Source organism: Homo sapiens, chromosome 4 (assembly GCF_000001405.40).
Source record: "Homo sapiens chromosome 4, GRCh38.p14 Primary Assembly".
NCBI lineage: Eukaryota > Metazoa > Chordata > Mammalia > Primates > Hominidae > Homo > Homo sapiens.
The window spans coordinates 100,511,485-100,523,168 of NC_000004.12; the positions used below are offsets into that span (position 1 = coordinate 100,511,485).

At 35.1% G+C, this 11,684-nt stretch overlaps 1 protein-coding gene across 4 annotated transcripts in view; it reads right to left on the reverse strand.

Moving 5' to 3' along the window:
* Positions 1 to 6,538, reverse strand: part of EMCN (endomucin) — a 122,682-nt gene extending 116,144 nt beyond the window's left edge. For all 4 annotated transcript variants that reach the window (NM_001159694.2, NM_016242.4, XM_011532024.4 and 1 more), the window contains exon 1: positions 6,367 to 6,538. In NM_001159694.2, coding sequence (NP_001153166.1) covers positions 6,367 to 6,430 — 64 coding nt within the window. In that variant the 5' untranslated portion in view covers positions 6,431 to 6,538. The remainder of the gene's footprint in view (positions 1 to 6,366) is intronic.
* Between the last annotated feature and the right edge of the window lie 5,146 nt (positions 6,539 to 11,684).

Consider the following 11,684-nt stretch of genomic DNA (forward strand, 5'->3'; position numbering starts at 1 on the left):
CAGTTGAGAAGTACAGAAAGAATAAAATCAATGACATCAACATTTTTTACTACTAACCTCACAGTATAATTCATTACTGCAAACAGGCAAATAATTGCCTTAGAACAGAATCTGTTTAGAATATTGTTAAGCTTATGTAACAAAAGATTGATCAAAGATATTTCATTTTCTTTGAAATGAAAAGGAAGAAGGGTAGTACATATTAATGAGAGTGTCAGAGAAACCAAAACTAATCTTTACTTAGATATACACTACCATCTAAACTAAAATGTTCTCATCAAGAAAAATAATAAATCCTGGGTTTTCCTAAATAGCAGAGCCTGAAACAAGGGCTTCTGTTCAGACAGTTTATAAAAAAAAAAATAGGAAGAGGAGAAAAGGACTAAAACAATGAAACTGGAGCAGGAATATAAGAGAAAAGCATTTATGTATTCAGTGACTCCATTCCCTCTTTTGTCAGGAGCTGTCTCATAGAATGCTAATGCTCCTGCACTTCTAGTTCAGGCATCTGATAATGCCAGATTCTGAAATGCACCTTTATAACAGAATAGCACCAGAAAGAAAGCAGGATATATGCATTAAAGTGAGGCAAGCGGCTGTCAGGTTACACCCGTGCGTAGCTGGTTGCCATAGCAATGGCTGGAGTAAACGTGGCCAGAGAAGATGTAGGGAAAGACACAACAGGAATCTAATGCTCATACGGTGACTTCTTCTACTTTGGGACTAATTATGATTATCTCTACATATATCATTCTATAGGATATGAAACCTCTATTCAAGTTTTAAAAATCTATTTTTCTTATGGTTGCCCCAAATTTGGGAACCATATAGTGCCCTTTCTAGATGTAATTGACACCACTAATGTTTCCCATGGTGTGCAATGGTACAAAAAGGATCTTGTTTGCTAACTGAGAGAGCTGCTTCTATCAGTCAAAAGGTACTGTTAGCCTAAGCTAACAGACCTATAATGGATAGGAATTCAGTAGCTGGAAAGGATTCAGTACACAGGAATTGAAAGTTACTTAAATTCCTATTCTGAGCTGGGCATGGTGGCTCATGCCTGTAATCCCAGCATTTTGGGAGACCGAGGCAGGTGGATCACCTGAGGTCAGGAGTTCGCAACCAGTCTGGCCAGCATGGTAAAACCCTGTCTCTACTAAAAATAAAAAAATTTAGCTGGGCATGGTGGTGGGTGTCTGTAATCCCAGCTACTTGGGAGGCTGAGGCAGGAGAATCGCTTGAACCCGGGATGCGGAAGTTGCAGTGAGCCAATATCATACCGTTGCACTCCAGCCTGGGCAACAAGAGCAAAACTCCATCTCAAAAAAAAAAAAAAAAAATTCCTACTCTGACATTCAGTATTTAGAAACGTGCATCTCATGTTGTTCTTAAAGACAAAGAGGAAGTTGGAAAGTGATTACTAAGAAAAAAAGAATGTGAGTAACTTGAATTAGATAATTATTCACAAGTTAAAATATTTGGCTGCAGCTTGAAATGTAACTTCACCAATGAAAAGGAAAGGATGGGCAGTTGTCTAGTAAATTCAAAGCTTTGTGAAACCCTTAAATATTCATTTTTTTCTTAGTTGTCTGGATAACTACAATTTTCAAGATAAAATTGCCAGAGAATTTGTTTCTGACAACTGTTATAAATCTTTTGAAAGTAGGAGTTCTAGAATGATCACTTCTACTTTTAGGTGGGGATTATTAAAAATCAGCAGTGGAGAAAGAATGCAAAGAAATGGTTTGCAGACTAAATACTTTTCCATTTGGATTTGTTCTATATTGGTTTAGTCTTCCTACAATAGACTACCCATTTCAGGTAAGAGATACTGGTGTGGATTAAGCTCAACAGAAGTACTTAGCAAAATTATCTACTCTGAAGCAACTCACGTTACCTGTAATGACGCATAAAGATGTATGATTTTTTTTAACTTTCCTCCAACTTCTATTTCTGTAAATTTCACTTGTAAAAAAGCCATTTTGTATTTTTGAGAAGTTGGTTGAGAATAAGGTAGCTCCTTGAATACTTTTAACTATAGGAATGTATCACATTGAGTATTTGATACCCAAAAATAAGTAGAGCTGGTTCTGTTTAGATATTCTTCCCCAAAGTGGTTATAGTTTGAGAGCTGGCTAACCTTTGATAAGAATCCCTTTCCCTTATATTTGGTGCTCACTTTCATAACTGAAATCAAAATAATCGACTTTTTTCTATATTATGTTCTCTGATTCATACTTGTCCATAACTTTTTCATAAGGACAAGATAGTAAACTATTAGGTGATTGTCATAGGAAGAAATTAAAATATGAAAATAATAAGAAGGCAACTATTTCATTCAATTATCCATTCATTCAGACAACTATGTCCTTATTATGTGTTCAGAACTGTTGCTGAGCAATCTGTAACAAATATAGCCCTTACTTTCAAGGCACTTATAATCTTGTAGAGAAATAAGACATTCATGCAAATAACTATGACAGAATTGGAAATAAGTACCTTAGGAGAGTTAGATATACGGGCATCCAGAAGAAGGATAAATTGCTTCTCTATGTTATTAATGTTACAATGGGCAAGATTAAGAAATATTTGGATTCAGGACTAAAGAACATTCACCTCTCAACATCACCTCTGGCTCCAGGGGCATACCGACTACGCATCAGACACTTTTAATTTACCATTGAACATCTCTACATAAATATCAGGATTACAAAATCACCATGTCCAAAACCAAATACCATTTTTCTCACTAAACCGTCTCCTCATATCTTTCCTAATCTCTGCTCCCAAGCCATTTTCCTATTTCTGGTATTAAAAAAAACTCTGTCTCTGCATTTCAGTCACATTCTCCTTCACTGCCAGTCAATGATATGTCAAATCACACACTTTCTACTTCCTTAAAGCTCTTCCTAGACCCTTCTTTTCATTTTATTGACACACTCTCAGACTTGCAATGACAGTTGACCTAGTTTCCTTACCTTTTATTTCTCTTGACTCCAGTAGTCTAATCTATATTCTGCTGACAGATTAGTCTTCCCATTTTATAGCCATGATCATATAATTCCCATACTCAAACCATTTACAGACTCAAACTAATTAACTATATGAGTCAATATTTCTCATCCTGGTATTCAATATCTCCTGAGGCTATATTCCAATCTTATTTCTCAGTACTTAACTATGCCCAAATTGTGACCTCTTTATGTTTCTAGACTAGAATATACCAATGTTTCAATGTATCTACTCAATAAATTCCCTTCCTCTAGAACCTCTTGATTTTCAAGCTTCAAAGCTTATAATAATTTCCACTTTTATATGTAGCCGTTTCAGATGTCCTTACATCCAAAACCAGGCTAGTTGTAAATTTTCTATGTCATTCTTTATTTACCTCTTAAAGCCTACAATATAGCCAAATTGATAATAACTTCCCTCATCTTCCTCTCTCCCCCACTTCTACGGTGAGGGTTAACTTTTATTAAGTTCTATAAACTTACGATATTTAGCATGGAGTCTGCTGATAGTGTGTTTAATCTTTCTTTTTCATGAAATTGAATGTTCAATCACTAACAAAGGAATTTCTCCAAGCAATTAAATCCTTCTTCATATACCAATAAAGAAAATGGTGTTTGTCCCTGTCTGAGAATGCCTACAACATTTTAATATTTCCCAAGTTAAGGCAAATTTCAAAAAGCAAGTGGCACTTGATGAGTAAGTGCATATTGTTTCCTTCTTCTTGGAGGAATCTCTCTTCATTAACTTCTCTCAGCCCTGAAAGTCAAAAGCTCATCCATACATCTAGATTTAAACGCCAGGGTAGGGGTCTGTTCAGTTTTAAATACAATTTAGAAAACCTTAAGAAAGAATGGCAGTTCCGTTTCAGAAACCTTCCATACACATTTCAATAGAACAGCTTTCCAAATTGGAGACTGAAAAAATATTATACCACCAACCAAGTAATAAAAAGTAACTCACTGACTGTGATGTAGAAAGATTCCCTTGATTTTCACAAACAGCATGAAAGACTGTATTGTAGTTATTTAAATCTGAGACTGACAAAAACATCAGAAGAAAAGAAAAGTAGTCAATTTATCTAAAAGATAATTATTTAGGAATAAATTACTACGCAAAAGAGCATGGATCTGCTTGACAGCTTGTGAATTTAAGGCAGATGAAATGCCTCCCTCCTCACCCCCAAGAATCAACTTTGCTGATGAAATATGTTAATCATTCCTAAGTTTGAGGAACATGTAAAACTCTGAAATCAAATGTGTATCTGGAACTAGGGGTTAAGGAAAAATAAAGGTACTCAGTCAGCTTAGGAAATGCTTTCTTCCCTGTGCCCAATCTGCAAAAACAAACAAACAAACAAACAAACAAAAAAACAGGCAGAACCAGGTACAACAAAATCATACATGTAGATGGGAAATTATCTTCCAATCCTTTCATGCTCCACTCAAATGGTCAATTTATACTCTTGAGCATAGCCTCCTCTCTAAGACAAATGGAGTAGGTTTGGTTTGTTTGTTTGTTTACAGATACTGGCCTTCAGTTAACAAGTAGACTTGTTGGCTGACTTGAAGGAGATAGTTATTATGTAACTATTGTCTCTGCTCAAATGGAAATTATCCTACAGGGGTTAACAGTTCATTAGAAAGAAGAACTGTTAACAGGTTGAGCTCATTACCAGTGAGCAAAAGGAGGTTTGTATTTTCCCAAAATGACCATAACAGAAAAACCTGCCAGTACATCTCTGGATTGTCCTTCATCTTCATGTCTTTCTTAAGGCCAGGTATTGCAGGCTACTTCTATTGATGCTATTCCACTTTACTTTCGGAAGAACGAATGATCTATTCAGAGTTTAACAATGCCGGCAAAGTATTGCACTCGTCGATGCTTGCAGACCTGGAGCAGCGAGCAGGCTAAGCCAGACTTTCAGACTTTATACTAATCTGACACATCTAATTGTGAGCAATATTTTCCATGGGATTGAGATTCCTATCAATCTTCCCCAAGCAGACCGAAGTTACTTATAAGCTAATGCAATAATTTCTGTGGTACCACATAAATGTTCTTTATTTTAAAAAATCAGATTCTAGTAACTCTTCTAAGTGAAATTTTCTGGCCTTGATACCAGCTGCAACTTAACCGCAGAAACTCCAAGATGCATGATGAGCAAATGTGCGTGAATTTGAAGTGTTTTTGAATTTGTACTAAATTTACATAGATATTTACATAGAAATGACTGATAAAATGTTGTTCAGGGAGGGATGTACTTATTTTCTTCCGACATTATCACTGTAAATTAAGATTTTGTAGGCAGTAATCTTTTAAATTGAGAATGAGCAAAATAAAATTAGAAATGAATGTTTTTGTTTTTTTCCCCCCAAGACCCCTCAGAGTCTGAATCAGTCTTTCCCAATTGTGTTCTTTTATGGTAGTTTGTTCTTCAATTTTCACACTTATTAAATCTATTTTATATTAAAATCACATGCTTATTTCTCCCAGTAGTACTTCTACCACTTTGGGCAAGGACGTCTTACTTGTTTTTATATTCCTTGCAGTACAGGGTAGGAACCTAATAAATATTGATTAAATTTAACAGTTTATTTTCAATCACTCAGGAAGGGTTAAAAGTCAAATGTAAATCGTTCTTGAAATTGTCCATTGATATACTCAAGGCTTATGAAGATACAAACCTATTTTTTATCTGAGTTTCTTAACCAGAAGTCAATAGGTAGGATTTTTATGTTTATAAATTCCTGAAATGTTATGCAAAATGTATGTATATGTTTAGATATGTGCATATTTCTTCAGCAAAAATCTATAGACTGTAATCAAATGAATCTCTCTCTATTCACCCTACCTCAAAATATTAGGACTCACTTCCCTAGGCAGCTTTACTCAACTCCTCAATTTATCAGAGCTGAAAAATAGTTGGGAAAAATACAGGCTAACATCTGCAATATAATGTCTCCGATTACAGCCTTTCACCCACACATGCCAATCTTATTATTTCTGAGCTATGTCTGCAAAGAATACATTTTTGAGAGAGAGTACATTTTTAACCAGCATTCTATTCCCAGATTTTTATACTCTAAAGAGGCCATTGTATATTTCCAGTACTTTGTGATTTCATCGAACATGCTTTCAGGCTGCTGTACCCGCAAACATTTCCCTTCAGTAGAAACAAATACCGTCTCTCTCAAGCCTTCTCCACGCACTCCAAGTCAACATCCAAACACTCAACTCATCAAAGGAATTGCTGCATCTAAGTGTCAGGGGAAGATCCCTGAAAGTAAACTGAGGCTGAGTCACCTACTAGTGATTTCCAATCCGTACCACCAGAGGAATAAGAGACAAAAATACCTGTGCTGTTACTGCTGCAAATACTGGGCAGAAGAAAAAGAATGGTCACTTGAAGCAGTTCCATGGTGCCCGTAGATGGTGTCAATATCTTCTTTCTCCAGAAGCAGGCAGGGACAATTCCCTCCCAGCCTGGCAGGGCCTTATTAGCAAATGGAAAAGGTGTAGTGAATGTGAATAGCCACTGCCCATTCCTACTTATTTTGGGGGCTCTGATAAAGAACGGGAGGAAATACACACACTCCCTTTGGGAGTTCAGCAGAGAGGAGATTTATTGTTTCAGTCCCTTACAGGAACTCTTTTTTTTTCTCTCTCTTCCTTTGGCAGCCACTTGTGTTTTTGTTACTACATTATTTTGTTCTTCTTCAACAGAAAGGTCGGGACTGGTTTTGAACAGAAACAGATCCTTCTTGAGAATGGATCATAGGGCCTTCTAACTTTTGTTTTGAAAGTGCATTCTGAAGTGGTTATAAAGGGGCCTCATTTAGCAGCTACTCAGTTGGGATAAAGAGGCTTTCACTGCCCGAGGGTTAAATTTTAGAGCAAAATCCATCAGGAATCAACTTAACTTTTCTCTTTCCAACTTGAAAGCCAGATTAGAGAAGGCCACCTTTTGGATATAAGTGAAAAATTGTATTAAATAGATTATGCTCTGCTCTTGAGTAAGCAAAAAGACTTCCAAAGGGTGTACAGAGAAGTTTTTCAGTCTTTTTTAATAGAATTAAGCAAAGACATGTGAATGTCTATTGGTCACTCCTGGTTTTTACTAAAGAACTTTGATGATGAATAAGGAACAATTACTTATAACACCTCATGAATGCTCTTCTTTAGGGGACAGGGTTGGAATGGCAGTGGGTGAAATGCCATCACACATCAGTGAAGCTGGGAGAGGTTGACTCTTTAAGACTGGAATGCCAACCAGGCTGGATAATCTATATAGCAGGGGTCACGTTGATGTCAGTTGTGACTGATTAAAACGTGGTGATAACACTGCCATAGTCCTGGGTACAAGCCCCGTGTGTGCCAATGACATTATATTTTTCTTCAGCCACAGGCTTCATGTCTCATTTTAGCTGATCATCCTTTTACGTACCTTTACTCATGAGGCTTTACTGGACAACATTGTCAATGAATCGGTGTAGATTCATTTTCCCCACAAAAAAAACAAACAAACAAAAAAACAAAAACTGTTCAAAAATTATACCTTTACCTGTTTGCAAGAAGGGCACACAGTTTCACTGCTGCACCATGCTGGAAAATACTTCATACAAAACGAGTTAGACTGAGTCAACTGCTCAAAACACTTAAAAACGTTAGCTTGTTTTATCCAACGTTATACCAGGGGTCAGAAGAGCTAAGTTTCTATTTTGTGCATAAGATTGCATTTTACCCTCTTCTAATTGATTTTCTAAAACAGACTGCCTTTGGCGTTGTTACTTTATTTGGCATATCCTGGAGAATATAAAGATAGGAACATATGTGAATAGATGTCACATGCACTTTCCATAAATAAATTGGGGTGTGGCCATGTGAAATCACAGTCGAACCCTCACATTGCCTCACTTCCTGCTCCTTCTGTACTCAAGTTGTCAGTACTCAGAGTCACCACTGATGCTGGTCACAATAATTTCTTCAGGGATTCCATGGCATTTGGACTCCTCAGCACTAAGTGCTATGCATTTCCATTTAGTACACTAGATACCTATTCTAAGAATGCTTGACAGTAGAATATTAAGGCTACTTAAAAGACAAAGGGCCTGTTGATGAAAAACAAAAACTAAGAAACATCTTAAAATGCTAGCCAAAAAAAATTTAGAATATAAGAACAGAAAAGAAAAAAAAAAAAGGAGTAATAATGAGGGGAGGGGTCAGCCTTGCTTTACTAAATCAGAAGATATTTTTAAGGTAAAATATTTAATTAAAACAGCAATGATTGCCAGAGGAGACAAACAGATCAGTGGCATAGAATAGAAAGTACAGACACAGAAATATTTATATTTGTTTCTATCTACATAAATATACACGCAGATATATTTACAGATATGTGTTTGCATATGCATGCTTGTGTGTATATGCATGTATATATAGAGAGAGAGATTAAATATAGGTGAGTTTAACATGTAGTGACTGTGATGAATAGGGTATATATTTACTGTGGGATTTTTTTGACAATGTGTTAACCATCTAAGAAAATTTTAAAATTAAGTGTCTGTTTTACTTAAAATACCAAATCTTACATGTTAATCTTATATGTTAAAGGTTTAAGTTTAAAATACAAAGCACAAAATTCTAGGAGAGAATATGGGCTACTATATATAATTGAGGTAAAGGGGACATTTTATGCATGACACTAAAGGCAAAGCACATAAAAGAAAGACTTCATACATTTGCTTACACAAAAATTAAAAGATTTTTGGCATAACATACCATGAATTTAAAAGGCAAATAAAAAATTTTGTAACAGTACATGATAAGTTATCTTAAAAAATAACTTCTGATCTAAAAAGCAATGACTCTACAACTGAAAAACGGCAAAAAAATGTCTCGCAAGAAATGGAGGGCCAGTAAAATCCAAAACTGTATTCATCACACCAGAGACCAAAGAAACGAATATCCCAACATCGCAACAACGTGTTTTGCCTTTTATATATAATTAGGTATAGTTTATGACAGTACTCATTTTTGATAAATGTTCAAATAAAGTAACTATCTTATTCTTGGGGTATGACCTTTCTGAGATGTGACTAGGCAATATACATCAAAACTGTTAAAGAACCACACTCTGAGCTTGCAAAATTATATGTTTAGGAACTTATTCTAAAAATGAAGATATTCATTGAAGTCCATGTAATTACAAAAATTTGTCAAAACATTAATTATTGAGGAAGAATATTGTTCTGCCACAAAATACTAATTAGATAACTTTTCATAGATGTGGAAATATATTCATGACACTTTGTTGCATGTATATATGCATATATATGCATATGCTTATCATTTATATATGTGAATGTACATGTATATATGTATATACATGTAAATGTGTATATATGTATATACATGTATATGTGTGTATATGTAAATACACATATACATACATACACATACAGAGCAAGAGAGAGTAAGATACAAAATGTTAATATTGCTTATCTTCTGAAATGAATTATGGGTAGTTTCTGTCACATTTTTAAATTTTCCATGAAAAGATCTTCCAGATTAAACACATATTGTTTTTACCTCTTAACAACAAAAACATTTCTCTTGACCTGATACATTTTGTTTAATTTAATGTTTTGAGTGTATATTTATACATATATTTATTAAACATTTTGTATTCTAACCTGCTGGAATGTTTTCATTATTAGGAAGTGTATAATTTAAAAGCACTTTAATAGAAGAAAATATGTGAAGAGAACTGAACCACTCTAACCTGAGAGATGAAAACATGTCTTTGCTCTTTAATTTGTTGTTGTTGTTGTTTGTTTCTTTTTCACAATTCATCTTCCGAATTGCTTGCTGAAAGAAAAAGTAGCTGCTAGGAGGTCATGCAAGAGCAATCTCATAATTCTTTCCAAATGCATATCAAGGCCTGTCATTGACATCTTTGACACTGAAGAAATTGTATAATGAAGACTCCAACACTCATGATTTATGTTAGCTTATGTGGCACTGAAAAGATTTATTCAGATAGCACCATTACTAGGGCCCCAAATTAAACTCCCTTTCCATACTTGCCTTCTTCCTCTTAGCCAGCTCATTACCCTGAATAAAATTATCTAAAATGAGAGGAAAGCCAAGAAGTAATTTCATGAACTGGCAAAGAGCATGATCTTGAGTTCAAATCCTGTCTCTGCCTTAGTTTTATGTGACTTACTGAGCTATTTGGCCCCTCTATGCTGAGCTATTTGGCCTCTCCATGCTTAGCTTCCCCACAGAAAAATAGGATAAACATCATGCCAACTTTCTAATGTGGTTTAGAGGACTAAGTGAGATTCCAGAAAGTCTTCTAAAAGTACATATTAAAACAAAACAAAACAAAAAACAGAAAAAAACCTACTAACCTTAAACTTCTAGAATCTTTCAGTTGTTAGGATTTTATATAAACCATCATATTCTAGAGTGATTAAGAAATGTCCTAAGAAATATTCAGATGATGAGAGTCCCAAAATATTGGTTTAAACTGATTATACAGAATCCCAACTCTTATTATCAGGAATTTGTTCTATGCTCTACTTCAAGGTACTTTAAATATCAAGTGCTTTCTTCAATGGAGATGCAATCAAACAGCTTATTTTTGTTACTTGCCTATTTGAAATGGGAATTGGGTGATCTCCTAAAGATTAGTGGGAACAGAGCTGAAACCAAAGAGATATTTAGAGCCCATGATTGTGGAGATATTAAGTCTCCCTTCCTCAGGGCCAAAATGGATAATGAACATCAACAGTGGGAGGGCCCAGCCATTTGGCCAAACTTATGCCAGTAAAATCACTATCTTTCTCACCTACCACATTCCTATTAATCAACTCCCAGTGACCCAGGTCCAATGGTATTTTGTTATTGCTTATGTGAAAAGAAAGCATCATAGCAAATTGATTCTTGAAGTTTCTCAAGAGCTTATCTCTCACATTCTCCAACTGTCCATCCCAGTTTTACTCCTCAGCATGTAAAGATGATTCTCATACCTCACATCAACTCCCTAACCTTGAATAAGTCTCTTGATATATAAGGACATGAATACAGGGAAATTATAAAACCACAGTGGCTCAGAGATGAGACATACGAAAAGTTAATTTAGTACGAATTTGTCCTAACACAGGAACACCCCTGCAAATGCTGAGTGAGCCTCCATGCTAACAGATGAAATGATTGAGGCTCATTACTCTGTCAGGCAGTCCATTGTCCTACTGGACAACTCTCTTTTTTAAAAAGTCCAAGTACCATTCTTTCATACTCATCTGCCTTAAGAAGCTCTGGAAATCACTGTCATAAATGAATTCTTCCTATACAAACTGAGCTGCAGAGGATAATTTTCATTAATTATGTAAATCATAATAGGAAAAATAAGATTTTTCCAAGAAGTTTATAATTCCTAGTATATATTAATACATCAATAATCAATCTTAATTGTATGTAATGAAGAATTGAGATGATTATTTCTTTGGAATTCTGGAATATATAAATAAATTCTGAATAACAAGGCAACTGTAAAGTTCTTCAACAGTTTGTTCAACTTTCCATATAGCTTACCTATTGCCAGCCATGAACTTCATGTCCAAGAGTTCTGCTCGATGTCCCATTTTTGGTATTCTAGGAATAGCAAC